The sequence below is a fragment of the Homo sapiens genome, chromosome 19 (assembly GCF_000001405.40).
Source record: "Homo sapiens chromosome 19, GRCh38.p14 Primary Assembly".
NCBI classification, from domain to species: Eukaryota; Metazoa; Chordata; class Mammalia; order Primates; family Hominidae; genus Homo; species Homo sapiens.
This window is the reverse complement of record NC_000019.10, coordinates 14,380,943-14,408,777: the sequence shown is the minus strand read 5'-3', so window position 1 is coordinate 14,408,777 and position 27,835 is coordinate 14,380,943. Positions and strand designations below refer to the sequence as shown.

The 27,835-nt window shown below is 54.7% G+C and overlaps 1 protein-coding gene across 3 annotated transcripts, besides 9 other annotated features; it reads right to left on the bottom strand.

Moving 5' to 3' along the window:
• Nucleotides 55-27,334, bottom strand: ADGRE5 (adhesion G protein-coupled receptor E5). 3 transcript variants are annotated; one of them, NM_078481.4, is made up of 20 exons: nt 27,233-27,334; nt 20,278-20,328; nt 19,960-20,076; nt 17,699-17,854; nt 12,305-12,436; nt 11,555-11,701; nt 10,974-11,120; nt 10,843-10,889; nt 10,639-10,716; nt 7,215-7,392; nt 7,018-7,125; nt 5,916-6,181; nt 4,216-4,395; nt 2,839-3,030; nt 2,221-2,447; nt 2,012-2,078; nt 1,818-1,909; nt 1,549-1,717; nt 769-870; nt 55-686 (listed from the first exon to the last, which is right to left on the bottom strand). In NM_078481.4, exons 1-20 carry the CDS (start codon nt 27,252-27,254, stop codon nt 657-659), a joined length of 2,508 nt encoding a protein of 835 aa, NP_510966.1. In that variant the 5' UTR covers nt 27,255-27,334; the 3' UTR covers nt 55-656. The 3 variants fall into 3 exon arrangements, with proteins under 3 accessions (NP_510966.1, NP_001020331.1, NP_001775.2); NM_001025160.3 differs by lacking the exon at nt 11,555-11,701; NM_001784.6 differs by lacking the exons at nt 11,555-11,701; nt 12,305-12,436.
• Nucleotides 752-981: an enhancer, noted in NCBI's record as "active region_14164". NCBI's record gives its function as "activates an Ori minimal core promoter by ATAC-STARR-seq in GM12878 lymphoblastoid cells {active_cell/tissue: GM12878}" and the evidence as "EXISTENCE:reporter gene assay evidence [ECO:0000049][PMID:35858748]".
• Nucleotides 2,330-2,849: a silencer, noted in NCBI's record as "silent region_10245". NCBI's record gives its function as "represses an Ori minimal core promoter by ATAC-STARR-seq in GM12878 lymphoblastoid cells {active_cell/tissue: GM12878}" and the evidence as "EXISTENCE:reporter gene assay evidence [ECO:0000049][PMID:35858748]".
• Nucleotides 2,330-2,993: a biological region, named in NCBI's record as "H3K27ac-H3K4me1 hESC enhancer GRCh37_chr19:14516597-14517226".
• Nucleotides 2,364-2,993: an enhancer, noted in NCBI's record as "H3K27ac-H3K4me1 hESC enhancer chr19:14516597-14517226 (GRCh37/hg19 assembly coordinates)". NCBI's record gives its function as "activates a minimal SCP1, AML or CMV promoter by ChIP-STARR-seq in primed H9 embryonic stem cells {active_cell/tissue: H9 hESC(primed)}" and the evidence as "EXISTENCE:reporter gene assay evidence [ECO:0000049][PMID:30033119]".
• Nucleotides 2,994-3,623: an enhancer, noted in NCBI's record as "H3K4me1 hESC enhancer chr19:14515967-14516596 (GRCh37/hg19 assembly coordinates)". NCBI's record gives its function as "activates a minimal SCP1, AML or CMV promoter by ChIP-STARR-seq in primed H9 embryonic stem cells {active_cell/tissue: H9 hESC(primed)}" and the evidence as "EXISTENCE:reporter gene assay evidence [ECO:0000049][PMID:30033119]".
• Nucleotides 3,127-3,421: an enhancer, noted in NCBI's record as "tiled region #8500; K562 Activating non-DNase unmatched - State 25:Art". NCBI's record gives its function as "activates a minimal TATA promoter and a strong SV40 promoter by Sharpr-MPRA in K562 cells {active_cell/tissue: K562}" and the evidence as "EXISTENCE:reporter gene assay evidence [ECO:0000049][PMID:27701403]".
• Nucleotides 6,045-7,244: an enhancer, noted in NCBI's record as "CDK7 strongly-dependent group 2 enhancer chr19:14512346-14513545 (GRCh37/hg19 assembly coordinates)". NCBI's record gives its function as "activates an origin of replication core promoter dependent on BRD2, BRD4, P300/CBP, MED14 and CDK7 cofactors, with strong dependence on CDK7, by STARR-seq in HCT116 cells {active_cell/tissue: HCT116}" and the evidence as "EXISTENCE:reporter gene assay evidence [ECO:0000049][PMID:35650434]".
• Nucleotides 11,143-12,342: an enhancer, noted in NCBI's record as "CDK7 strongly-dependent group 2 enhancer chr19:14507248-14508447 (GRCh37/hg19 assembly coordinates)". NCBI's record gives its function as "activates an origin of replication core promoter dependent on BRD2, BRD4, P300/CBP, MED14 and CDK7 cofactors, with strong dependence on CDK7, by STARR-seq in HCT116 cells {active_cell/tissue: HCT116}" and the evidence as "EXISTENCE:reporter gene assay evidence [ECO:0000049][PMID:35650434]".
• Nucleotides 25,846-25,985: a silencer, noted in NCBI's record as "silent region_10244". NCBI's record gives its function as "represses an Ori minimal core promoter by ATAC-STARR-seq in GM12878 lymphoblastoid cells {active_cell/tissue: GM12878}" and the evidence as "EXISTENCE:reporter gene assay evidence [ECO:0000049][PMID:35858748]".

Sequence of the window (27,835 nt, the reverse complement as noted above, 5' to 3'; positions counted from 1 at the left end):
TTCACGGACACCCTGGGCCCGGCCTCTGAATCACCACCAGCAGGCAAGGCCATCTTCTGTATGCATGTGTTTAATTTTAAGTGTCAACACTGAAAAATTTTAACAGATAAAAACACATTACACAACGTCTACAACCTTCACAACAGTGAGAACCTCCTGCCCGGCCAGGCAGGGCAGGCCTCTGTACCGTGAGCCTCAGGCAGTGGCCCCAAGGGGCCTCGCCATGGGGCCTCTGACATCAGTCTTAGCTTAAGAGGGAAGCTGAGCCCCAGCGCCTAGTCTCTTCAGTTCTGCAGCAAAGACATGAGAGGAAAAGTCCAGGATGGGACAAGCGCCCTTAGTCTGTCCCGAGTACTGGCCACAGGTGCCAGGGCAACATGCTGCATTGCAGCCCTGGGCCAGCCCCTGTCCCCACCCTGGGTCACAAGGTGGAGCAGAGAGGCAGCCAGCAGCAGGACCAGTGGCTCCGACTCCACCCCACTGGGTGTCCTGGACTTTGGTGCCAGACTATAGCTGCCACTCCCTCCTGGTGGCACACGGGATCAGGGAGGGAGGGTGGAGGGAGTAGAGTGGTGGACGAAGGGAGGATGGATGGTCTTCGTGTACAAAGCTGCTGTGGCCACAGGAGCTGCTGGGCCGTCCAGAACCATGCGCCTTCATATGCCGGACTCTGATGCCCTGAGGGCCTGGAGAGGAGAGCCCAGAGGCCTGAGCCCCGCTAGCCCTGGTGCCTTCCTGCCCACACCCGCCCCAGGCGCAGCCCCTTACCCGGGTCTGATTGTGGCCAGTGCCAGACGTGGTGGAGGTGAATTCTGAGTACTTGCTCCCCCCAGCAACTAGGCAGGCCCACTTCCGGTATTCTTCCCGAACCTGCCGGCCCAGACACCAAGTCAGGGCAGGAGCAGGCCCTGGGACCATGCACGCTCCTCCCCATGCTCTGCCCTCAGCCCCACCTTCTTGGTGTTTTTGTGTTTGTCTTTTTTTTGAGATCGGGTCCCCCTGTCACCCAGGCTGGAGTGTAGTGGCACCATCATAGCTTACTGCAACCTTGAACTCCTGGGCCCAAGTGATCCTCTTGCCCCAGCCTCCTGAGAAGCTGAGATGGGTATTCAGCACACCCGGCTTTTTTTTTTTTTTTTGGAGACAAGTCTCACTGTCACCCAGGCTGGAGTGCAATGGTGCCATCTTGGCCCACTGCACTCCTGGTTCAAATGATTCTCCTGCCTCAGCCTCCCAAGTAGCTGGGACTACAGGCGTGTGCCACCATGCCTGGCTAATTTTTGTATTTTTAGTAGAGACAGGGTTTCACCATGTTGGCCAGGCTGGTCTTGAATTACTGACCTCAGGTGATCTGCCCACCTCGGCCTCCCAAACTGTTGGGATTACAGGCGCCTCACCCTGGCTATCTTTGAATTTTTTTGTAAAGACAGCATCTGGTTATGTTGCCCAGGCTGGTCTCCAACTTCTGGGCTCAAGCAATCCTCCCACCTCAGCCTCCCAAATAGGTGGGAGGATGACAGGCGTGCGCCACTGTGCCCAGGCCCCCACCTTCTTGTTGAGCAGGCAGTGCAGCAGGTAGAGGAAGGCGCCCTGCAGGCAGTTGAGGATGGTAAACACATAGGTCAGCACCAAGCTCCGATCGTCGAAGATGAACAGGCCAAAGACCCAGGTGCAGCCCAACAGGAAGAGCTGCGCGATGGCCGTGATGGTCAGCGCCCTGCGAGGAGCGGGGTTGCAGCGTGGGCCCCCACCTCACCTCCAGCTTCATGCCCCTCACCCCGGCCCCGCCTCCAAGTCCTTCCAGCCTCTCCTCTCACCTCGCCTTCTTTAATTTCTTCATGTCTGGATTGATTTCAGAAAACTTCTGAGTGAGCTTCCAGACGGTAGTCACGAAAATGACAGCATTGCACTGGGCAGGGAGCAGATTGTGGGTTAGAGGGCGAGAGCGATGGTCCAGCCGGGCCTGGGCCTGTGGCGCTCGGGCTTCGGTGGAGGGAGAGTGGGTACTTACCAAAATGATGAAGGTCACAGGTCCCAAGAAGCTCCAGAGGAAGCCCTGCTCAAAGTCCAACCAGCAGCTAGGAGGGAAGGGAGGGGTCCCATCAGTGCCCCAGGAAGCCAGGAGCGGAACGGAGGGCGGCCGGACATTGTGTGTGGCACTGCCTGTGAGCCCCAGGCCCAGCACCCCGCCTTCCTCCTGCCCCATCTCGCTGCACTCACTATCTGGGGCGGCCGTAGCCCTTGCTGTAGATGGCAGCCGAGACGCCCACGATGAGCAGGGGCACGCCATAGCCGATCAGGCAGAGCCAGCGCGTACTCAGGCCCTGGCCTTGGAACACGCGCACCACAAGAAAGTAGAGCTCCAGGCCTTCGAGGCTCATCCAGCAGAAGGCGGCCAGGAAACAGTAGTGCAGCAGCCCGGCCACCAGGCGGCAGCGCAGCCCCACCTGCGGGGCGGGGACGGAGGGGCGGAGCGACGTCAGCGCGGGGAGGGGCATGCGGCGCCAGAGCCAGTCGCCTGCCAGGTCCCGAGAGTGGGCGGGACCACAGCCGGAGGGTGGGCGGGTCTGGAGCGGGGGCCAGGTTTCCCCCCAGGGCCCACCCCCAACAACGCTCAGAAGCGAGCGGGCACTCGGGGTGTGGCCAGGCAGCTCCAAAGCCAGCGCCCTTTAAAGAGACAACCCGACCCCCCGGTGGGCGGGGCCAGATCCCGGACAGGGGCGGGGCCTCATGCCTCCAGGGCCCGCCTACCCGACTGAGCCCCGGGAGTGGGCGGGGCTAACCCCTCCCAGGCCTCCCTGACCCCAGAGCTCAGGAGGGAGCGGGGCGGGACCTCACCTGGCCGCCTTCGTTCTCGATGCCGGCCAGGAAGATGGTGGAGCCCACGAAGAGGCAGATGCAGAGGTGCAGGTGTATGGTGGTGCGCGAGCCCTGGATGGGCCGCACCAGCAGGAAAGTGAGGATGCACAGCAGCAGGCAGAAGAGTGACAGCGCCAGTCCCACCCTGGTGATCAGGGTCAGCTTCCAGTCCTAGGAGTGGCACCGGGTGCTCAGGGTTCCTTCAGGGCATGAGGCCTTCCTGCCCTCTTTGTGGTCCCTTTTCCCCCCCACACTTTGACGGGCCCACCTCTCTGACCTCCTCCCTTGTCCCTCCTAGATCTGGCCACACTTACCAGCTGGAAGGGGAGTCTAGGGATTTCACATTTTTGTGCTTGCTGGGCCTTTGGCCTGGACCACAGGCGCCCCCCTTCTCTGCCTGGTTAATTGCAGTTTTCGACAAGGCCCAGCTTAACGATGGATCCTACTGAAGTCACGTACAGAAAGTGGTGCTCCAGGCTGGGTGTGGTGGCTCATGCCTCTAATCCTAGCACTTTGAGAGGCTGAGGGGGGGCAGATCACCTGAGGTCAGGAGTTCGAGACCAGCCTGCCCAACATAGTGAAACCCCGCCTCTACTAAAAATACAAAAATTAGCGGTGCATGGTGGCATGCACCTGTAATCCCAGCTACTTGGGAGGCTGAGGCAGGAGAATCGCTTGAATCCGGAGGCGGGGGTTGCAGTGAGCCAAGATCACACTACTGCACTCCAGCCTAAGCGATAGAGCAAGACTCTGTCCAAAAGAAAAAAAAAAAGAGGCCGGGTGCGGTGGCTGACACCTGTAAGCCCAGCACTTCGGGAGGCCGAGGTGGGTGGATCACCTGAGGTCAGGAGTTTGAGACTAGCCTGGGCAACATGGTGAAACCCTGTCTCTACTAAAAATACCAAAAATTACTCAGGCATGGTGGTGCACGCCTGTAATCTCGGCTACTCGGGAGGCTAAGGCAGGAGAATCCCTTGAACCTCACTAGCTGAGATTGTGCCACCATACTCCAACCTGGGCGACAGAGACTCCGTCTCAAAAAAAAAAAAAAACGGGCAAGTGGTGCCCCCTTGGAATGCTCTCCATGGGGAGCTTTTAGTTGACATCTCACAACTGGTACGGGATGGACAGGCAGAGGAGCGGAGCTAGTGGCTGCACCCAGTGTATAGTTGCTGGGTTGTAGAGAAGAGGCCAAAGGAAGAGGCTGCGAAGGGTGTGACGTGGGGACACCTGGGCTGTGCAACCATGCAGATATATCTGAGCAACCAGTAGGGCTCCATGGAGAACTAGCTGCCTGTCTGGTTGCAGCTGGACCTCATTACCTGTGGGCACTTGAGGATGCCTCCAGCTACTTACCTCCACGTCATAATGAGCCATAAGGATCGCAAAGCTGCTCAGGTGGCTGCATTGGCAGGTGGTGCTGCCGTTCTTGCTGCCCAGCACCTGGCAGCCCTCGGTGGCCCAGTGCCCTCCCCTGTCGCTGTCACTCTTCCAGAAGGCACAGAGCAGCTCCTGCCGTGGCCCAGGCATCACGTCCTGTGGGCAGATGGGGGTGGTCAGAAAGGTTGGCCTGGAGCTCACTCTTAGGTCCTGGGCTTGGGCTGAGTCTAAGAGGGCTGCTTTTTACTAGATGAGTATTGACCGAGCGCCTACTGAATGTAACAGGTTTGGAGACACAGCAGTGAACAGGGCACACACAAGTACCTACCCTTGTGAGGTTGACATAAGAGTGGGAGAGGTGGCCAGGCATAGTGGCTCATGCCTGTAATCCCAGCACTTTGGGAGGCTGAGGCAGGCGGATCACCTGAGGTCAGGAGTTTGAGACCAGCCTGGCCAACATGGCGAAACCCCGTCTCCACTAAAAAATACAAAAATTAGCTGGGCCTGGTGGCAAGCACCTGTAAATCCCAGCTACTTGGGAGTCCTGGGCAGGAGAATCGCTTGAACCTGGGAGGTGGAGGTTGCACTGAGCCGAGAATGAGCCACTGCACTCCAGCCTGGATGACAAGAGTGAAACTCCATCTCAAAAAAAAAAAAAAAAAAAAAAAAAAAAAGTGGGAGAGGCAGATTATGACATAAACCTAACGAATAAGTAATGTAGATAGTGCATTAGAAGGTGGCCAGGGATGATGATGGCTCTTGCCTGTAAGTAATTCCAGGACTTTGGGAGGCCAAGGTGGGAGGATCGCTTGAGGCCAGGAGTTTGAGACCAGCTGTGGCAACATAGCGAGACCTCCATCTCCATTAATTTTTTTGTTTTTAATTAACTGGGCATAGTAGTGCACGCTTATAGTCCCAGCTACTCAGGAGGCTGAGGTGGGAGGATCACTGGAGCCCAGGAATTCTAGACCATCCTGGGAAAAATAGTGAGGTCCCCGTCTCTATCAAAAATAAAAAAATTAGCTGGGAGTGGTGGTGCATGCCTGTAGCCTCAGCTACTCAAAACTCTGAGGCTGGAGGAATGGTTGAGTTCAGGAGTTCGAGGTTGCAGTGAGCTATAATCGCGCCACTGCACTCCAGCCTGGGCCACAGAGTGAGACCCTCCTGTCTAAAAATATAAATAAATAAGAAAAGAAAGTCTGGGAGTGGTGGCTCACGCCTGTAATCGCAGTACTTTGAGAGGCCAAGGCGGGCAGATCACCTGAGGTCGGGAGTTTGAGACCAACCTGACCAACATGGAGAAACCCCGTCTCTACTAAAAATACAAAATCAGCGAGGTGTGGTGGCGCATGCCTGTAATCCCATCTACTTGGGAGGCTGAGGCAGGAGAATCACTTGAACCTGGGAGGCAGAGATTGCAGTGAGCCGAGAACGTGCCACTGCACTCCAGCCTGGACGACAGAGTGAGACTCTGTCTTAAAATAAATAAATTAATTAATTAAATTAAATAAATAAAGTAAGGAAATAAATAAGTAATGAGGTTGGGGAAGGCCCAAATCAGAAGGCCAGAAACATAAAAGACTGAGTCACGTCGGGAAAGAGCATCCCAGAGAGAGGCCCAGCATGTGCGAAGGCCCTGGGTTATCTTTGAGGAAGTGAGCAGAGTGAGCAGAGACCTTGGCAGGAGGGTCTCTTCCCGCCTCCCCATCGGAGGACTCAAGGTGGGAGAAGGCGAAAAGGATGGGGGAGTTGAGTTCCTTGGTGTTGTTGTGGCTCAGAAAGATGGAGTTGACGGCAGAGAGGCGTCTGAGTTGGACACCACGGATGCTGCTTTCATATATCTCCTCCAGTTCGGCTTGCTTCTTGGAATGCAGGTTCAAGGAGGCATTGGCCAGCAATGTCGTCATGTTCTGGATGGAGAGGATGCCCGCCACGGCGGGGCCTGGGGAACAGACACACTCGCTGCCTACTCCCGTTGTCCTCCTCCCATGCTCTATCCTCCCTCCCAAGATGACCCAGCTCAGGCTCAGCCAGTCCACCACGATGACGCCAGGAGCCCCTCCCGATGAGTCAGTTTCTAGTTGTTCCTTGTTTTTTTTTTTTTGAGACGGAGTTTCGCTCTTTCGCCCAGGCTGGAGTGCAGTGGCGTGATCTCAGCTCACTGCAACCTCCACTCCCCAGGTTCAAGCAATTCTTCTGTCTCAGCCTCCCAAGTAGCTGGGATTATAGGCACCTGCCACCACTCCCAGCTAATTTTTGTATTTTTAGTAGAGATGGGGTTTCACCATCTTGGCCAGGCTAGTTTTGAACTCCTGACCTCGGGTGATCCATCTACCTCAGCCTGCCAAAGTGCTAGGGTGCTAGGACTACAGGCATGAGCCACTGTGCCTGGACTTTTTTTTTTTTTTAAGACAGGGTCTCACTATGTCGTCCAGGCTGGAGTGCTTTGGCGTGATCATAGCTCACAGCAGCCTTGACCTCCCGGGCTCAATTGATCCTCTCGCTTCAGCCTCCTGAGTAACTGGGACTACAGGCACGTGCCACCACACCTGGCTAATTTTTGTATTTTTTGTAGAGACCGGGTTTCACCATGTTGCCCAGGCTGGTCTTGAACTTCTGAGCTCAAGCGATCTACCCACCTGGGCCTCCCAAAATGCTGGGATTGCAGGCGTGAGCCACCGCGCCCAGTCAGTTGTTCTATTCTGAACCTCACCCTGGCCCCATCCCAGCACCTCCATCTCTCTCCCACGGGCTCCCCCTCCAGACCACCGCTGCTACCTGGATCCTCGGCTCCAGCTGCCACAGCCCAATTCAGCTTCATGCGTGCGCTGCTCTGACCCATAGTGACGTTCTTGTCCCCCCGCTCCTGGATCATCAGGGTCAGCTCTGAGGGGAGAGGGGCAGTTGTGATTAGGGACCCCAGGTACCAGGTGGGGCCCAGGGTTGGGGCAGGGCAGGCCAGGCCAAGGCCTCACCTGTGTTCGAAGGGGAAATGTAGGTGAAGGGGCCTTTAGGCAGGCTCTTGGCCAGGATCCTCATGATATCTTCAAGGTTTGAGAGCAGCTGGGTGGCTATGAGGTGCCGGACAGGTGGCGCCAGGGCCTCTACGTCTCCAGGAGCTTCCATCAGTTCATCCACCAATTTGATGACATTCTAGGGGGTGGCGGGTGACAGAATCGCTGGAGCATCAGACCACAGGGGTTGCCTGAAGGACCTGGATGTCACCCCCTACCAGGGGACACACTGGAGACCCACAGGCACAAGGGAATCACTGAGATGATGCAGTAACCAGAAAACAAGCGACGGATTGAGTATTTGCCTGCATGCACGTATGAATCACAGCGCTTAACACTGGTTGGGCACGGGCTGCCTGCCAGGCTCTGTTTTGATTTCCTGTTCTTTTTTCTTTCTTTTTTTGAGACAGGGTCTCAGTCTGTTGCCCAGGCTTGAGTGCAGTGGCATAATCAGCTCACTGCAACCTCCACCTCCCAGACTCAAGCGATCCTCCCACCTCAGCTTTCTGAGTAGCTGGGACTACAGAAGCGTGCCACCACACCCGGCTAATTTTTGTAATTTTTTTTTTGTTTTGTTTTGAGATGGAGTTTCACTCTTGTCACCCAGGCTGGAGTGCAATGGCACGATCTCAGATCAAAACAAAAAAAGCAAAAAATCATTCCATGTTAAAGTGGTTAATACGTTGGATCTATTAGGTTAAATGCAATCTTAACTTTATTTATTTATTTATCTGAGACTAAGTCTCACTCTGTCTCCCAGGCTGGAGTGCAGTGGCGCGATCTTGGCTCACTGCAACCTCCGACTTCTGGGTTCAAGTGATTCTCCCGCCTCAGCCTCCCTAGTAGCTAGGACTACAGGTGCCCGCCACCATGCCCGGCTAATTTTTTTTGTTATTTTAGAGACGGGTTTTCACCATGTTGGCCAGGCTGGTCTTGAACTCCTGACCTCAGGCGATCTGCCTGCCTCAGCCTCCCAAAGTGCTGGGATTACAGACTTGAGCCACCATGCCCGGCCTGCAATCTTAACTTTAATTTAACTTTATTTTTACTTTATAAAGTGTAGTTATTAGACAACAGGCACGGTGGTGCACGCCTGTACTTCCAGTGCGTTTGGAGGCTGAGGTGGGAGGATCACTTGAACCCAGGATTCAAGACCAGCTTGGGCAACATAGCAAGGCCCCCATCTCTGCAAAAAATGAAAAAATGGCTGGGCGCGGTGGCTCACACCTGTAATCCCAGCACTTTGGGAGGCCAAGGTGGGTGGATCACGAGGTCAGGAGATCGAGACCATCCTGGCTAACATGGTGAAATCCCATCTCTACTAAAAAATGCAAAAAATTAGCTGGGCGTGGTGGTGGGCGCCTGTAGTCCCAGCTACTTGGGAGGCTGAGGCAGGAGAATGGCATGAACCCGGGAGGCGGAGCTTGCAGTGAGCCGAGATCGTGCCACTGCACTCCGGCCTGGGCGACAGAGCGAGACTCCGTCTCACAAAAAAGAAAAAAAAAAAATGAAAAAATTAGGCACAGTGGCTCACACCTGTAGTCTCAGCTCTTAATACTTGGGAGGCTGAGGAGGGAGGATTGCTTGAGCCCAGGAGGTTGAGAATGGAGTGAGCTGTGATTGTGCCACTGCACTCCAGCCTGGGTGACAAAACAAGACCGTATCTCTAAAACTAACTAACTAAATAATCTAGCTACTGGAAAAGTTAAAATGATGTTAAGTGGCTCACATCATTTTTCTACTGTGCTAAAAACATATGGGAAAACTGTTTTTTTTTTTTTTAAGACAAAATCTTACTCTTGTTGCCCTGGCTGGAGTACAGTGGTGCAATCTTGGCTCACTGCAACCTCTGCCTCCGGGTTCAAGTGAATCTCCTGCCTCAGCCTCCTGAGTAGCTGAGATTACAGGCGTGCACCACCACGCCAGCTAATTTTTTTTTTTTTTTTTTTTTTTTTTTTTTTGAGACGGAGTCTCGCTCTGTCGCCCAGGCTGGAGTGCAGTGGCGGGATCTCGGCTCACTGCAAGCTCCGCTTCCCGGGTTCACGCCATTCTCCTGCCTCAGCCTCCCAAGTAGCTGGGACTACAGGCGCCCGCCACTACGCCCGGCTAATTTTTTGTATTTTTAGTAGAGATGGGGTTTCGCCATGTTGGCCAGGCTGGTCTCAAACTCTTGATCTCTGGTGATCCACCTGCCTCAGCCTCCCAAAGTGCTGGGATTACAGGCGTGAGCCACCGTGCTTGGCCAGGAAAGCTTTTATATAAGGCTTATCATGTGTCAGGCACTGTTCTGAGTCTTACTTCTATTAGTTGATTTACCCTTCACACTGACTATATGAAGGAGGCATTACTTTCATGCCTGTGTTGCCCATGAGGAAACTGGCCAGACACAGTGGCTCACGCCTGTGATCCCAGCATGTTGGGAGGCCGAGGCAGGAGGATCACTTAAGCCCAGGAGTTCAAGACCAGCCTGGGCAACATAGCAAGACCCCCATCTATAAATATATTAAATAAATAAATAAGCCAGGCATGGTGGTATATGCCTTTGGTCCCAGCTACTTGGGAGGCTCAGGTGGGAGGGTCACTTGAGCCTGGGAGATTGAGGCTGCAGCGAGCCATGATCATGTCACAGCCCTCCAGAATGGGCAACAGAGCCAGACCTTGTTTCCAAATAAAAAAAAAAAACGCAAACAAACAAAAAAAAACACACCACAACCCCCAAAACAGATGAGAAAACCGAGGCCCAGAGAGGGCAAGTCACTTGCCTTAGATCACAGAGCAAGAAGTGGCAATGGGGGGATTTGAACTTCTGTGGCCCAACTCCAGGCTCTTTTTTTTTTTTTTTTTTTTTTTGAGACAGAGTCTGGCTCTGTCGCCCAGGCTGCAGTGCAGCTGCACGACCTCGGCTCACTGCAAGCTCCACCTCCCAGGTTCACGTCATTGTCCTGCCTCAGCCTGCTGAGTAGCTGGGACTACAGGCACCCGCCACCACACCCAGCTAATTTTTTTTTTTGTATTGTTAGTAGAGACGGGGGTTTCACCATGTTAGCCAGAATGGTCTCGATCTCCTGACCGCGTGATCTGCCCACCTCGGCCTTCCAAAGTGCTGGGATTACAGGCGTGAGCCACCGTGCCCGGCCTCAACTCCAGGTTCTTAAGTGCTGCACTCTGTTGCCATTATACCTGGTGTGTGTGTGTGCATGCGTGTGTCTTCACGTGTCCGGGTGTGTATGTTTGTGCACATACTGTATGTGGTGTGTGTATGTTATGCGCATGTGTGTCTCTGACTAGAGGCCCCTGCTTGGGTTGGGCACTCTCTCTGGCCACATGGAAGCCTCCGCTAGCTGATTCTACACTGTCCTGGGGTCCCCCAGCATCCTGCCCTTACCTGGATGGTGACCTCGGCTGAGCTTGTCTTGGAGTCTCTGCCCAGGTCCTGGACTTTGTCGAAGAATCGGGAAAGCGTCTGCAGAGAGAGGAGATGTGGGGGTCAGAGAGCCTGGACGGCGGGTGGGAAGTTTAGAACAAGGAGACGGATGCAGTGCTGTGTGGATGGAGTTCCCGCCGCCTCGTCCCTGTGGGGGCCACTCACCTGGCTGTGGACTCCAGGGGGCGGGGTCCAGGTGGAGAAAGTCATATCTGTAGGGAACAAGACAAGCGGCTCATTAGGCCGCTTGTCAGTGTGTGTGCTGGGGGTGGGGAGCTTCTAGGGCCAGGTCATACCTTCACAGACAGTGTCCTTTTGGTTATTCGGGATTCCGTGTCTGGGCTTCCAGCCTGGGCGGCAGCGGCAGCTGTATGAACCCACGGTGTTGAAGCAGACGGTGGAGCTGTCACACTGATGCTGCCCGGAGCTGCACTCGTCCACATCTGAGGACAGGAAGAAGGGGGTCAGGTCCTGTCCCAGCCTGGAGAGGGTCCTGTCTCCTGTCTGTGCCCCCAGCTCATTCCTCCCGGCATTAGTGCCCCCCTTGGAGTGGTGGACGCTGGGTTATGGAAGCGTGGAGAGGCCTGGGCACAGCAGGTGGGCCCCGTGCAGATGAGCAGGTTATGAATATGGTGAAACGCCTTCCTCCCAGTGAGTCATCAGCTGTTGCCTGGGGTCCCCCTGAGCCTTCCCCCTCAGTACCCCAGCTCCTTCCGGAGGACCCTTGCTCTTTTCTCATCTAGCCTCAGAAGAATGAACGAACGCCTGGCACAGCCAGGTGCCTCCAGCGCTCATTCTGCTTGGTTTGTGTGGGCGCCGTTGAACATGTGATCAGATGTTTGTGGGTCGCTAGAAACGTGGGATCTGAGCTCTCGACCTTCACAGACGGTATTGTTTGGGCCATTGGGGGACCCCGGAATCGGTTGCCAGCCCGGGCGGCAGCGGCACTGATAGCTGCCCACGTTGTTGAGGCAGTGGGTGGAGCTGTGGCACGGGTTTTGTCCGGAGGTGCATTCATTCACATCTGAGGACAAAGCCAGAGGGTCAAACCCTGTCCCTGACCAGCCTGGGCCTGCCCTCCACTCACTGCACCCACTCCCCTATCTTTTCATTGCCTCAGACTGAAGACCATTATTGCACATGCCGCCACTTGGTGACCTTCAACTTCACCTTCAAAGCATCTTATGATGGTCTTCCTACCAGATGGGCACAGCAGGGACCATGGTCCCCAGTTTATAGGAGGTGAAACCAAAAGGGAAACTGAGTCATGGGAGCTAGATTTCCATGACTAAAAACTAAAAACTCTCATCTGCTCCCTCCCTGGTCATAGTGGAGATTCCCCTTCTTAGAACTGGAAGTGACACCTTCTTCCACTCGCACGTGACAGATGAGGAAGGGGTGAGGTCTGGGGGCCCACAAGGGCACTCCAGCCCTGAAGGCCCTGCCGCCTCCCTGCCGTGTGGCAGGACCTTCCTGGGAGGTGAATCCTTAGGCAGGGGCTTAGCAGGTCCTTGACCTTGTGGGAACCTGCGGATCTTCCCCCTCCTCCTCGGCTGCTTTGGAGGACGTGCCTCAGCTCCATCCCCAGCTCCCGTCCAGCCTCACGGCGTCTTCCTGGGGCCTCTACCTGTGCAGACCTTCGGATCCTCAGGTATGAACTTGAAGCCAGGCAGGCACTGGCAGGTATAGCTGCCAAGGGTGTTGACGCAGGTGCCGTAGCTTTTACAGAGCCTTGGGTTCTGCTGACATTCGTCCACATCTGCAAGAGGAAGGAGAGGGTGAAGGATGCCCGTAGCTGTGAGCAGCTTTCAGGGCTGAGGGTCCGCCATGTTTCCTGGCACGGAAGCATCTGGAAGGCACCACTGTCTCCTCCCTTTTCCAATCCACACAGAGGCATCCTATGGTGAGGGTGGTGGCTCAGTCCTTCTGTTGTCCAGATGTGGCTGGAAGCAGCCAAGTCCTCCCCTTCTCCTCTGCCTTCCTGGGCAGCTCCAAGCTGGGGTGTCCCAGCCATCTGTGTCCCAGCCTAAGGATTCCGGGCAAAGGCCAGGGTGGGGCCTTCCTGAGAACCAAATGCAGGGGACATGCCGTGCGCCTGGGCAGGACACGTCTTGGTTCCCAACGGTGGCCCTCGGCCTGACTCCCACAGAACGGCCGCTCGCTGGCCAAATTCTCAGCATCCTGGTGGCCCTAGCAGGATGCTGCTCTCCCATCCACACTAGCTCTGAGAGCCCAGCTTCATGGGCATGGACCAAGACCCCTCCCTAAGCCAGTGCCCCCGCGATGCAGGGCAATAGCAGGGGTGGGGAGAGTGCGGGATGATGTGGGACAGGCTAGGGCTGCCCGGACAGTGGGCACCAGGCTGGGGTGAACAGTGGGGGCTGATGTCCAGCCAGGCAGCCCCGAGTCTACAAAGATGCTTTTTTCTGATCCCCAGGAAAGGATCTATGGATATGGAAATAGCAGGATTTGGTGAGAATCCATATCTAAGCAGAACTGGCCGTGAGCGGGGGCCTGTGGCTAGAGAGGGCACAGGTGCCGATGGGTGAGGGGTGGCAGATGTATCTGTCCTCTCATCCCTTGTCATTCCACCAGGGACAGAGACCTGTGGGCCCTGCTGAATGGGGTTCAAGCTTCCATCTCTGTCCTTGAGTGGTCCAGACCAGGACTGACTACAGGAGAGGATCGGGCCTGGGACGATGGTCCCCAGTGATGCTGTCTCTTGCCGGCTAGTCCAGGCTGGAGCCGCCTCCTTCATCCAACCCTCTGAGTGCGTTTTTGTTTTTTTTTTTTTTTTTTGGAGACAGCGTCTCTCTCTGTTGCCCAGGCTGGAGTGCAATGATGTGATCTCAGCTCACTGCGACCTCTGCCTCCCGGGTTCAAGCGATTCCCCTGCCTCAGCCTCCTGAGTAGCTGGGATTACAGGTGCGTGCCACTGCGCCCGGCTAATTTTTGTATTTTTAGTACAGACAGGGTTGCACCATGTTGGTCAGGCTGCTCTCGAATTCCCGACCTCAAGTGATCCTTCCACCTTGGCCTCCCAAAGTGCTGGGATTCCAGGCATGAGTCACGGCACCCAGCCCTCTGAATCCATTTGTGGGGTCCACATCACGCTGCCCACACCTGGCCACAGCATCCTCCCAAGCTTTGGTCATTGACGGTGCGTTCAGGCCCAGGAATTACCAGGGTGGGTTAGGGTGGAGCCTTGGATGGGGAAATGGATGAGGGCTAAACGGCCAGAAAGGTGGTCGGGAGGCATCTTCTCCAAGCAAGGCTGCTGGCTGGAGACAGTTGTCCTGTCCTTGAGATTCCCTCCTCCTGAGTTTCTGGACAGGGTTTTGGGGTTCATTATGGTAGGTGTGGGTGTCAGAGGGGTTCCAGGTGTGGCTGAGCTCATGGGAGCCCCGGTGGCAGCAAGTCTCATCCTGGCAGTCCCCGGCGATGGCGGAGAGGATGGATACTGTACTGGAATGCGCCACCACACGCCATGTCATGAGCCCATGAAATATCCTGAGTGCCAGCCCCCTTTTGTTTTATGCAAATAAGATGCCAGATGGGCAGGGGGATGTTCCGAGCTTCCAAAGTGGCCTCCTGTGGAGTGTCCCGAGTCTCAGGGTTGGGACAAAGACGGGTGATCAGGGGTTTAGGATGGCCCTGAGATGCCTGGAGACAGGGGGGTGAGGAGTGGAGGGAGCCGCCCGAGGTCTCTGGCCTGGATGTCACAGGCCCCATGGGCTGTGACACTGGGTGCACGTGTCCTCAGGTGCAATAGCGAAGCCTGGAGTGCCTTGGGTTAAAGGGAGGGGCCCAGGCCCCTCTGAGCGTCTCACCTCTGGTCATAGGTCCTGCTCCAAACCAGCAGGCTGTTGGCTCCATCACCTGCTTTGATGTCCGTGGAGGTCCCTCTTATCACCTCAGCCCTGCTGTCCATGTCTCTGCCCAGCTGCCTGACTGAGTCCCCTTCTCTCAGCCCAGGCCTGTTTCTAACACAGCAACACACCTCCTTCATAACCACAACCACCATCCCATGCAGGGGGTTCATAGCAGTGGGTGGGCGGCACCCCTAGCCAGAGCACCCTGGGAGGAAACCATGATCACCAAGTACAGCTGTGCAGGTTGCTCACTGCACAGGTATTGGGCCAATGAGATGAGCAGGGGCTGAAAACCAGCCCACTTTTTGTTTGTCAAATGTATCCACCGGGAGAGGGGGATCTTTTTCCAGTTCACATGAAGACTCTGTCTCCTCTGGCCAAGTCACATGCATGTGGGGTAACATGATGTCCACTTGCAAGGGGGCCCTGGGGACTAGCAGTGTGGCGGACAGAAGCCTCCTTCTGGGCTCCACGCAGGTGTACGTCCCAGGTATATGCATCTCTGCCTTGTCCCCCAACCCACCTCCCTCTTTATCCCTCTGTGCTCTGCCTGAATGCAGGGCAGGAGGGGTGGGGCTGGGATCTGGGCTGCCGGCCCTTTCTTCTCTCTGTAGTCTTGAGTCTCATCACCTCCCACCTCTGCACCACTCCTCTTCCTGATCTCGGTACCCTGCACTAACTCCCTCTCTTTGAATGAGTCGCAGCTCCCAGCTGCCCACTGCTGGCTCCCATCTGCCCCTGTGAATCCTGGAAGCCCCTCCCCTGCCCAACCAGCTTCCCTGGAAAATAGGCAAAGCCTGGAGTCCCAGTTTCTCCCGGCCTGAGCTGTGGCCTCAAGCAAGACCATAGCAAAGGCTGTGGCCTCTGCGCAGGGGTAGAGCCTTGCAGCTGCTCTCTGATCTCGCACCCTACGGATACCCATCCTGGGGGCGCATCAGATCAGAATTACAATAAAATCCCCATTAGCCATTGCTGATAGAGTGCATTCTGCAAGCCAGGAGCTTTTAAGTGATTTTTTTTTTTTTTTTTAGATGGAGTCTCGCTCTGTTGCCCAGGCTGGAGTGTAGTGGCGCAATATCGGCTCACTGCAACCTCCGCCTCCCGGGTTCACGCCATTCTCCTGACTCAGCCTCCAGAGTAGCTGGGACTACAGATGCCGGCCACCATGCCTGGCTAATTTCTTGTGTTTTTAGTAGAGACGGGGTTTCACTGTGTTAGCCAGGATGGTCTTGATCTCCTGACCTCGTGATCCACCCGCCTCGGCCTCCCAAAGTGCTGGGATTACAGGCATGAGCCATCGCGCCTAGCCATTTTTTTTTTTTTTTTGAAATGGAGTCTCGCTCTGTCACCTAAGCTGGAGTGCAGTGCTGTCATCTCGGATCACTGCAACCTCTGCCTTTCAGGTTCAAGCGATTCTCGTGCTTTAGCCTCTTGAGTAGCTGGGATTACAGGCATGCACCACCACACCCAGCTAATTTTTGTATTTTTAGTAGACACAGGGTTTCGCCATGTTGGCCAGGCTGGTCTTGAACTCCTGACCTCAGATGATCCACCTGCCTCGGCCTCCCAGAGTACTAGCATTACAAGTGTGAGCCACTGTGCCCAGCCTGTTAAATACTTTTGTAGGTAAATGCCATTACTCCCCTTTTAGCAAGGTGAAAGTAACTTTAACCTTTTAACAAGGTGAAAGTAACCTGTCCAAGGTCTATATTTAACAAAAGTCAAAGCTACTTTTGTTTTTATCTTTAAAAGATAAGGACTCAGCCTGGGCATGGTGGCTCACGCCTGTAATCCCAGCTACTTGGGAGGCTGAGGCATGAGAATCACTTGAACCCAGGAGGCGGAGGTTGCAGTGAGCCGAGATCACACTACTGCCCTCCAGCCTGGGTGACAGAGTGAGACTCTGTCTCAAAAACAAACAAACAAAACAAATAAAAGATAAGGACTCTTTCTTCCCCTTGTCTATATTTTTGTTTTTGTAGAGATGGGGTCTTGAAATGTTACCCAGGCTGGTCTTGAACTCCCAGACTCAAGTGAAGTGATCCTCCCACCTTGGCCTCCCAAAGTGTTGGGATTACAGGCATGAGCCATGGCACCCAACCTATCTTTTTTTTTTTTTTTTTTTCAGACAGAGTCTCACTCTGTCACCCAGGCTGGAGTGCAGTGGCGCGATCTTGGCTCACTGCAACCTCTGCCTCCTGAGTTCAAGCGATTCTCCTGCCTCAGCCTCTGGAGTAGCTGGTAGCTGGGATTACAGGCGCGTGCCACCATGTCTGGCTAATTTTTGTATTTTTAGTAGAGACGGGGGTTTCATCATGTTGGTCAGGCTGGTCTCAAACTCCTGACGTTGTGATCCACCCACCTCGGCCTCCCAAAGTGTTGGGATTACAGGTGTGAGCCACTGCGCCCGGCCAGTTCTTTTTTCATTTAATGTTTTTAATTTTTTAAAATCCTGCCTCCAAGAAAGCTTTGGTTTGATTTTTTCTTTTTTAGAGACAGGATCTTGCTCTGTCACTCAGGCTGGAGTGCAGGGGCTTGATCATGGCTCACTGCAGCCTTGACCTCCCAGCCTGAAGCAATCATCCCACCTCAGCCTCCTGAGTAGCTGGGACTACAGGCGCAGGCCTCTATGCCTGGCTAATTAATTTTTTTTTTTTTGGTATTTTTTGTAGAGATGGGGTTTCACCCGCTTGCTCATGCTGGTCTCGAACCCCTGGGCTCAAACAATCTACCTGCCTTCGCCTCCCCTTTTATAGGGGTGGGGTCTTGCTATGTTGCTATGGGCTGGTCTTGAACTCCTGGCCTCAAGAGATCCTCCCGCCTCAGCCTCCCAAAGCACTGGAATTACAAGCATGATAACGTTATCACATCTCACATGTGGACAGCGGTTTCTGAATAAGTATCCTGGCCAACGTCATACACTTGGTTATCAGGATTTGGCCCAGGCAGCTGGTCCCAGAGTCAGCCCTTAATCCTCACATCACTCTGCCTCTCTGGGGTGGTGGGGTAGGTACATGTGCACCTGTCCCATCTCAGACGCCAGGCACTGACCCTACAACCAAGGCCCTGCTCTCTGGATGCTGCCAGAATGGCTCTGGTGACCCCAAACCTCATGGATGGAAAGTCAGAGGACGTGGGGTGGTTCTTACCTTGACAGGTGTTCTCGCTCTCATTCTTGAATGTTTTTGCCCCAGAAACAGGCTCATATCCCGGGCTGCACACGCAGTCGTAGCTCCCCTCTGTGTTCCAGCAGTCCGAGAATTTTCCGCATGACACTTTCGACGGTGTTGCACACTCGTTGATGTCTGGAACACAACAGGACAGGGAGTCACCTCCCAAAGATGTGAGTTCTGTCAGGGCAGAGACCCCCATCCTGACTCCCCAACATGGGGCCTGCTGCTTAGTATCTTTTGGAAAAAATCTTAAGTTGCACTGCACAGGCTATGCTGCAGCTGGAGCAAGCCATTCCTGAAGACCACACTTGATCTTAGTTCTCTGGCTGGCATCTTAGATTTGGACACAGTGAACAGTGCTGAGGTGAGGGATGGACAGGAAGCTCCACATCCCCATCCCCAGTCTCTTTGTAGAAATTTAAACCCCATGGCGGCCGGGTGCAGTGGCTCACGCCTGTAATCCCAGCATTTTGGGAGGCTGAGGCAGGTGGATCCCCTGAGGTCAGGAGTTCGAGACCAGCCTGGCCAAGATGGCAAAACCCCGTCTCTACTAAAAATACAAAAATTATCTGGGCATGGTGGTGCATGCCTGTAATCACAGCTACTTAGGAGGCTGAGTCAGGAGGATCGCTTGAACCTAGGAGGTGGAGGTTGCAGTGAGCCGAGATCGGGTCACTGCACTCCAGCCTGGGTGACAGAGTGAGACTCTGTCTCAAAAAAAAAAAAAAGGAAAAAAAAACCTCATAGCCAGAATGTACCCCCTCCCCAGTCTTAAGGGTAAACTGAGGCACAGACTCCAGATTCCTGAGCACCCAGCTTCTCTCTCTCCAGGAAGCCATGCCTATTCACTTCTTACTTCTCCCCCTTCATATTCTTCCCTTATTTCCTTCCTTCCTTCCTTCCTCCCTCCTTCCCTCCCTCCCTCTTCTTTCCCTCCCTCCCTCCCTCTCTCTCTTGTTCTTTTCTTCTCTTTTTTTTTGAGACAGAGTTTCACTCTTGTTGCCCAGGCTGGAGTGCAATGGCACGGTCTTGGCTCACTGCAACTTCCGCCTCCCGGGTTCAAGCGATTCTCCTGCCTCAGCCCCCGGAGTAGCTGGGATTACAAGCATGTGCTCATGGGCCACCACACCCGGTTAATTTTGTATTTTTAGTAGAGATGAGGTTTCTCCATGTTGGTCAGGCTGGTCTCGAACTCCCAACCTCAGGTGATCCGCCCGCCTTGGCCTCCCAAACTGCTGGGATTACAGGCGTAAGCCACCATGCCGGGCCTACTTTTCTTTCTCTTTCTCTCCTTCTCTGTCTCTCTCTTTTTTTTTTTTGAGACAAAGTCTTGCTCTGGTCGCCCAGGCCAGAGTGCAGTGGCGCAATCTCGGCTCACTGCAACATTCACCTCCCAGGTTTAAGCGATTCTCCTGCCTCAGCCTCCCGAGTAGCTGGGATTACAGGTGACCACCACCACCCCCGGCTAATTTTTTGTGTTTTTAGTATAGAGAGGAGGTTTCACCATGTTGGCCAGGCTAGTCTCGAATTCCCAACCTCAAGTGATCTGTCCACCTCGGCCTCCTGAAGTGCTGGGATTACAGGCATGACCCACCATGCCGGGCCTATCTCTCTCCCTCCCTTCCTCCCTTCCTTCCTTCCTGCCTCCTTTCCTCTCCCTCTGCCTCCCCCTCCCCTTCCCCGTCTCCCTCCTCATCCCCCTCCCCTTCCCCTCCCCTTCCCCCCTCCCTCCCCCATCCCCCTCCCCTTCCCCCTTCCCCTCCCCTTCCCCTCCCCTTCCCCCTTCCCCTCCCCCTCTCCCTCCCCATCCCCCTCCCTTTCCCCCTTCCCCTCCCCTTCTCCCTCCCCCTACCCCTCTCCCTCTTCCCCTTCCTCTCCCCCTCTCCCTCTTCCCCTTCCTCTCCCTCTCCCTGAGACACGATCTCATTCTGTTGCCCAGGCTAGAGTGCAGTGGTGCAATCATAGCTCACTGCAGCCTCAAACTCTTGGGCTCAAATAATCCTCTCCCCTCAGTCTTCTGAGTACTCCTGGCCTCAAACGATCTGCCCGCCTCAGCCTCCCAAAGTGCTGGGATTACAGGCGTGAGCCACCACGCCTGCCCTCTTTTTCTTTTCTCTGGCCATGATGATAGTCTGGAAGGTAAGGCTGTGGCCCCTCACAACAACCTCTGTCCCCCACTGGCTGGGCAATGCCTCATAATCGCGGATGTCCCCTGCGCTGCCCTCAAGCCTCTGTACCGTCACAAGTCTCCGTCGGGGTGGTGATGATCTCAGAAAAAGAGCTGAACCCTGGATTGCAGCGACAGGCGGTGGCATTGACACACGAGGAGTTCTGAGGGCACCACCGGGCACAGCCTGCAAGAGCAGGGAGCACGGTCAGAAGGTGAGGGGTAAGGGAATACACAAAAAGGGGGCACTGGGGGAGATGGGGCAGGGCGCTGAGTTTCTCGTGCGCGAGCCCTCTCTTTCCCTGGGCTGAAGGGGGCTGGGCGGGGGTCCAGGACCCTCCCCAGGCTCTGGCTGTGGACTGTGCTTTCTGCTTCCCAGCAGACTCACCCCTGGAGTCCTGGGTTTCAGCTCCCGGCAGAGTCAGCCAGACACAGAATGCTGCAACAGAGAAAGGAAAGGGGGTCAGAGGGGATCCCAGGGTGGGAAAGGAGGCGTAAGGGTGATGCACTTTGTGGGAGGAGGATGCTGACCCCTCTCAGGCTCAGATCCTGACGGTCGTTCAGAGTGAGCAGATGTCATGTCCCACTCAGATGCTCAAAGCCAAAGAGTCTGTCACCCTGTTCCCATAGGGGCGGGTTTTTTTGTTTTTGTTTTTTTTTTGACACAGGCTCCTGCTTGGTCACCCAGGCTGGAGTGCAGTGGTGCAATCATATCTCACTGCAGCCTCCAATTCCTAGGCTCAAGAGATCCTCCTGCCTCAGCCTCCCAAGTAGCTGGGACCACAGGTGTGCACTAAATTTTTTTTTCTTTTTGAGACAGAGTCTTGCTCTGTCGCCCAGGCTGAAGTGCAATGCTGTGATCTTGGCTCACTGCAATCTCTACCTCCTGGGTTCAAGTGATTCTCCTGCTTCAGCCTCCTGAGTAGCTGGGATTACAGGAGTCTGCCACCACACCCGGCTAATTTTTTGTATTTTTACTAGAGACAGGGTTTCACCATATTGGCCAGGCTGGTCTCGAACTCCTGACCTCAGGTGATCTGCCTGTCTTGGCCTCCCAAAGTGCTGGGATTACAGGCGTGAGCCACATTTCCTGACTCAAAATTTTTAAAATAAAATAATTTATCATGCCAGGCCAAAAAATTAAAAATAATTTTTTTTTTTGAAACGGAGTCTCACTCTGTCACCCAGGCTGGAGTGCAGTGGCATGATCTCAGCTCACTGCAAGCTCCGCTTCCTGGGTTCATGCCATTCTCCTGCCTCAGCCTCCCGAGTAGCTGGGACTACAGGCGTCCACCACCACACCCGGCTAATTTTTTGTATTTTTAGTAGAGATGGGGTTTCACTGTGTTAGCCAGTATGGTCTCGATCTCCTGACCTCGTGATCCACCCACCTCGGCCTCCCAAAGTGCTGGGATTACAGGCATGAGCCACTGTGGCCGGCCTAAAAATAATTCAAAAAATTATTTTACAGACAGAGTCTTGCTCTGTTGCCCAGGCTGATCTTGAACTCCTGGCCTCAAGCGATCCTCCCCGCCTCAGCCTCCCGAGCTCGGCTTGAGGGTGGAGTTTCAGGAACTGAGTAGGGAAGGGCCATGAGCCTGGTGGGGGTCTCAGCTCCAGCTGCTGCTCTTCTGACCTGGGGTGTGTGGGGAGTGGCTAAGAAAACAGACAGGAGCCAGGCATCCCCAGTTCAAATCCCAGACAGTGGGCCTCTCTGCCTCAGTTTCCCTCTGTAGAATAGGGATGATGGCGCCCACTCCCCAGTGTAGTGTGTGTGGGAGTAAACCACATGACTGCTGTCCGGTGTGCCTGAGCATTTACTGCCATCTTCATTTCTTCTTCTTTTATTTATTTATTTATTTTATTTTTTTTCTGAGACAGAGTCTCTCTCTGTCGCCCAGGCTGGAGTGCGATGGCACGATCCTGGCTCACTGCAACCTCCACCTCCCGGGTTCAAGCAATTCCTCTGCCTCAGTCTCCAGAGTATCTGGGATTACAGGCACCCGCCACCAAGCCCGGCTGATTTTTTTGTATTTTTGTAGAGACGGGGTTTCACCATGTTGGCCAGGCTGGTCTTGAACTCCCGGCCTCAAGTGATCCTCCCGCCTTGGCCTCCAAAAGTGCTGGGATTACAGGCGTGAGCCACCGTGCCCAGCCTGCCATCTTCATTTCTCTTTTTTTTTTTTTTTTTTTTTGAGACGGAGTCTTGCTCTGTCGCCCAGGCTGGAGTGCAGTGGTGCAAACTTGGCTCACTGCAAGCTCCGCCTCCCGGGTTCACACCATTCTCCTGTCTCAGCCTCTCGAGTAGCTGGGACCACAGGCTCCCGCCACCACGCCCAGCTTATTTTTTTGTATTTTTAGTAGAGACAAGGTTTCACCATGTTAGCCAGGATGGTAGTCTTGATCTCCTGACCTCATGATCCGCCCGCCTCAGCCTCCCAAAGTGCTGGAATTACAGGCGTGAGCCACCGCGCCCGGCCTCTCTTTTTTTTTTTTTTTTTTTTTTTTTTGAGATGGAGTCTTGCTCTGTTGCCCAGGATGAAGTGCAGTGGTGTGATCTCTGCTCACTGCAAGCTCCACCTCCCGGGTTCACGCCATTCTCCTGCCTCAGCCTCCAGAGTAGCTGGAACTACTGGCGCCCACCACCACGCCTGGCTAACTTTTTATATTTTTAGTAGAGAAGGGGTTTCACCATGTTAGCCAGGATGGTTTCGATCTCCTGACCTCGTGATCCACCTGCCTTGGCCTCCCAAAGTGCTGGCACAAGCCGCCAGGCCCTGCCTGCCATCTTCATTTCTTTAGGTAAAAATGAAGGCGTGGTCAGGCACAGTGGCTCATGCCTGTAATCCCAGCACTTTGGGAGGCCGAGGCGGGTGGATCACTTGAGATCGGGAGTTCGAGACCAGCCTGCCTAATATGGTGAAACCCCCTCTCTACTGAAAATACAAAAAATTAGCTGGGCGTGGTGGTGGGTGCCTGTTATCCCAGCTACTTGGGAGACTGAGGCTTGAGAATCGCTTGAACTAAGGAGGCAGAGTTGCAGCAAGCCAAGATCACGCCACTGCACTCCAGCCTGAGTGACAGAGCAAGACTCCGTCTCAGAAAAAAAAAAAAAAAAATGACGGTGTTGGATCACCCAGGCTCTGAGATGCCCTGGACCTCCACGCTTCCTCAGGGACACAGGTGCACACACACCACACCCACAACTGCCACTGGCCCTGGCGGTCTGTCCTGGAACCCAGTGGTGATATTTCACCCCCGGGCCCCCCTCCCACAGGAAGACGCTGTAGCCGCCTGTTGGGGTGCACGTGGAGTGGCGGTTCCCAGCACTCAGGGGGTTCCCCCTCCCAAGGCATGTTCTGGGGGACCCTCCTCAGGTCACCAGGGGATTCAGAGATGGGGACCTAGGGATCTCCTTGCTGTTCACCAGAGAGATAGAGACAAAGAAGCAGGGGTGGAGAGAAAATAGAGATTAGAGAGAGAGAGAGACAGACAGAGAGAGAGAAAGAGTCAGAAAGAAAGAGAGACACAGAAAGAGAGACAGAGACACAAAGAGACAGAGAGACAGAAGGTGGGGGGCTGTGCTTGGTGGTTCACGCCTGTAATCCCAGCACTTTGGGAGGCCGAGGCAGATGGATCACCTGAGGCCAGGAGTGTGAGACCAGCCTGGCCAACATAGTGAAACCCCATCTCTACTAAAAATACAAAAAATTAGCCGGGCATGGTGGCACACGCCTGTAATCCCAGCTATTTGGGAGGTGGAGGCAGGAGAATCGCTTGAACACAGAAGGCAGAGGTTGCAGTGAGCTGAGATCCCGCCACTGCACGCCAGCCTGGGCAACAGAGCAAGACTCTCAAAAAAAAAAAAAAAAAAAAAAGAGCAAGAGTCTCAAAAAAAAAAAAAAGAAAGAAAAGAAAAGAACAAAGAGAGAGAGAGACAGAGAGATAGAGGGACAGAGACGGAGACAGAGAGGAGAAAGGAGACAAGCTGGAGAGAGAGAGGGAGACAGAGAGGAGAAAGAAGACAGCTAGAGAAATATAAGACAGAGGAGACAGAGACACGGAGAGATAGAGACAGACAGAGAGACAGAAATTACATGGTGATAGAGAGAGGTGGAGAGAGAAACAAGGGGCCCATAAAGAGCAGAAGGGGAAACAGGAGGAGATGGGACAGAGAGAACAGAGAGACAGAGAGATAAACAGTGAGGAAGAAAGAAAACCATGAGAAAGGAGGGTGGATGGAAACAGAGGGGAAGGGCAGGGGAACGGAGGGCGTTGGGATATGAGCGGCAGGTGGGGCCTGGGGCGGGCTGGGAGGGGACGTCCAGTCCCTGCCGATCTGGGAATACTGGGGACCCCAATAATCCAGGGAGACCTGAAGGGGGGTGTCGGGCAGAGGGATGGGGACCAGGACAACGGCTGGGCATGAGTCACTTCCTGGGCCTAAGGGAAGGAATGACTCACCACTCATTTGCCCCAATTCAACCCTGGAGGGGCTTCCAGGGGAATTTTGGGGTCTGTTATGAGCACAGCTTCAGAGGGCGGGTGTTTGGGGTGCAGATTGGAGGTCCCCGGACCACTCAGCCACTGTGTTCAAATTTAGTACCCCTTAGGTGGGTGGAAGGCAGAGATCCCCACTCCCACCTCCACACTCCTTCCAGCTGGGTTAAACCAAGGCCGAAACCCCCCAGCCCAAGCCCGTACTCCCCACTTCTGTCAGGATTCCCCTCTTCCTCCTCTCTGGCCACAAGGCTTGGCTAGTTCCTCCCTCGGCCAGAACCCAGTTCCTCTTTGCAGAACAGACCACAAAATGACCTCCCCTGGCAGGACAGGATCTAGGCAGATTCATCTCTAACTCCCAAAGCCCCAGGTAACTCCTTTAAAGCTCAGAACCACTCTAGGAGGCAGGGGCTGTGTTGATGCCCATTCTACAGATAGAGAAACTGAGGCTTGGAGCCCAGAAAAGGATCAGGAGGAATCCAATAAACAGAAGAGGTTGGGGAAGGAGGAATTGAGGGATTGAGGTCCTCAGGGCCCTGGGCAGGGTTCCTTTGTGCCCCATCCCCTCTGCATGGGCTGAGCTGGGTTCTCTACTCCCACCGTGAGGCTACAGGGCCCAGCTGCCTCCATCTGGGGCCTTGGAAGTTGCCCAAACAGAAGCCGGGAGAGAAGCTGCTGTTCTGGTTTGAGTTCCTTCTGGTTTGCATTCTCTGGGCTGAGCCCTAAGTAGTCAGTTTCCTGCATTGAGATCCTGGGGTGGGGGGTGGTGGGGCAGTCACCCCTTCTTTAGGCTTCCTCCTAAGGACCCCGAGACAATTCCCCAGACCCACTAGTGTCTTACCAGAATTTAATAATCATCATAATTTATTATTTATTCATTTATTTTGAGACAGGGTCTCACTGTCACCCAGGCTGGAGTGCAGTGGCGTGATCTCAGCTCACTGCAACCTCCACCTCCCAGGTTCAAGAGACTCTCCTACCTCAGGCTCCCGAGTAGCTGGGATTACAGGCGCCCGCCACCACACCCAGGTAATTTTTGTATTTTTAGTAAAGACAGAGTTTCACCATGTTGGCCAGGCTGGTCTCGAACTCCTGACCTCTGGTGATCTGCTGGCCTGGGCCTACCAAAGTGCTGGGATTACAGGTGTGAGCCACTGCACCCGGCCTTATTATTAATTTATTTTTTGAGATAGGATCTTGCTCTGTCACCCAGGCTGGAGTGCAGTGGTGCAAACACAGCTCACTGCAGCTTCAACCTCCTGGGCTCAAGGGATCCTCCCACCTCAGCCTCCTGAGCCACTAGGACTACAGGCGCACACCACCAAGCCCGACTAATTAAAAAAAATTTTTTTTGGCTGGGCGCGGTGGCTCATGCCTGTAATCCCAGCACTTTGGGAGGCGGAGGCGGGTGAATCACCTGAGGTCAGGAGTTTGAGACCAGCCTGGCCATCATGGTGAAACCCCGTCTCTACTAAAAATACAAACACAAAAACTAAAACAAAAAACTAGCCGGGCATGGTGGCAGGCACCTATAATCCCAGCTACTCGGGGTGGATGGGGGCGAGGCAGGAGAATCGCTTGAACCCAGGAGGCGGAGGTTGCAGTGAGCCGAGATTGCACCATTGCACTCCAGCCTGAGCGACAAGAGCGAGACTTTGTCTCAAAAAAAAAAAAAAAAATTTGTTTTTGGTAGAGACAACGTCTCGATGTGTTGCCCAGGCTAGTCTCCAGTCCCTGGGCTCAAGAGATCCACCTGCCTCGGCCTCTCAAAGTGCTGGGATTGCAGGTGTGAGCCACTGTGCCCAGCCAACACTTTTAAAATGCTGTTTACCTAATTCTTACTGTGAACCAGGAATAGTTTGTGTCCTAACTCACTCATCCCTTAAAACAATCTAAGACGGAGACGGGTTGTGCTCCATTTTATAGATGAGAAAAGTGAGGCGCAGAGGCTCTCTGACTTGGCCCTGGTGACACAGACAGCCAGGGCGTGGAACCCTTGGGAAGCCAGGTCTTGGCAACTGCCCCCAACAAGTGTGCCCCCAAGAAACCCAAGGTGGGCTCTTGTCTCTCACTCTCAAGCCAAGGCGGGGTGCTGAGCTGACACCTGCCACTTGGGGCTGGCCCAGGGAAGCTGTGTCCCTGTGGTCCAGGAAGTTCTGGTTTTTGCCCCAAATGTCATTTCTTCACTCTCTTTGTTGCCCCGTTGCTTAGGCAACGAGCTACCCTGATAACCGTTACAGTCACCTTGGGTGGGGCGGGAAAGGGAGTCCCAGGAAGTCACAACAAAAATCAAATTCAAACCCAGAACCAGGCAAAGTCCCTTCGATCCGCAGCTGAGCCCCAGCCAGGTCTGCGGGGAGCAAGAACTGGGGTCTCTGGGGGCTGCCCCTGCTGCTGAGACTGCGAGGGACAAATTGGGGGTACCTTGCAGTGGAGAAGTCCTGGCTTCTAGCTTCCCCACCCCCGCCCATGTCCTTCTATGCGTTATATTAAGCACAGCGGCTCTCAGGGTCCCAGCACTCACTTTTTGCCCCTTTCCTTCCCCCGTGCCTCAGTTTCCCCTCTTAGGGAGCAGATGCCAGACTGGCTCCAGTAGAAAGCTTGAGGATCCCTCCAGGCAGGGTAGCAGGCTCCAAGAGCACCCTGGAGTTCCTGCCGGGGTGTGGGGGTGCCCAAGCACCACCAGCCCCTCTCGCCGTGTGCCCGTGAGTGCCTGCTTGACCATGTGGCTTCCTCTATCGCAGGCCCCACAGACACCAGCGGCGCCTCCCGTTTCTCAGACGCAGCCAAGGGGTCCCGCTGGAGCTTCCTCGCCCCTCCCAGCGGGGCCCCAAAGTACTTACCGAGAAAGACGCGGCCTCCCATGGTTGGAGCTGCCGGCAGGAGCGGCAGGGGAAAGAGTGAGTGGGACAGGGCTGTCCCGTCTCCACAGGCTAGGCAGCTGTGCAGGCTGTCCCGAGGCCAGGACTTTATGAAGGAGGGGGGGCGGACAGCCGCTGGCCCAGGGCCCTCCCCGGAACTGGCGGTGCAGCTGGAAGCCAGCAGGAAAGTGCAATAAAAACACAGACCCAGGGGCGCTGCATACACACACACACACACACACACACACACACACACACACACGTGCACTCAGTAAGAATGAAGTGCAACCTGCTTTCAAAAACCCTCTGCTAGAGTTTCCACCATGTGGCTCTGACGAACCCTTTGGCCTCTGTGTTGGGGCTGGCTGCTCTGAGGGGAAGGTGTGGCAGCCGGGCGGGGCGGTCTTGCCTGGGGCCACTTGGCTCTTCCCTGGGCAGGCGCAAAGGGGTCTTGTCAGAAATAGCTCTGGACGCCCACGCTGGTGGGACTCGCCCTGTGCCCAGAGCTTTGGCATGCCAGAGTTGGCAGAGCCTGCGTCCCAGCTGGCAGAACGTTTCCCTGCCATTTTCCAGATGAGGAAACAG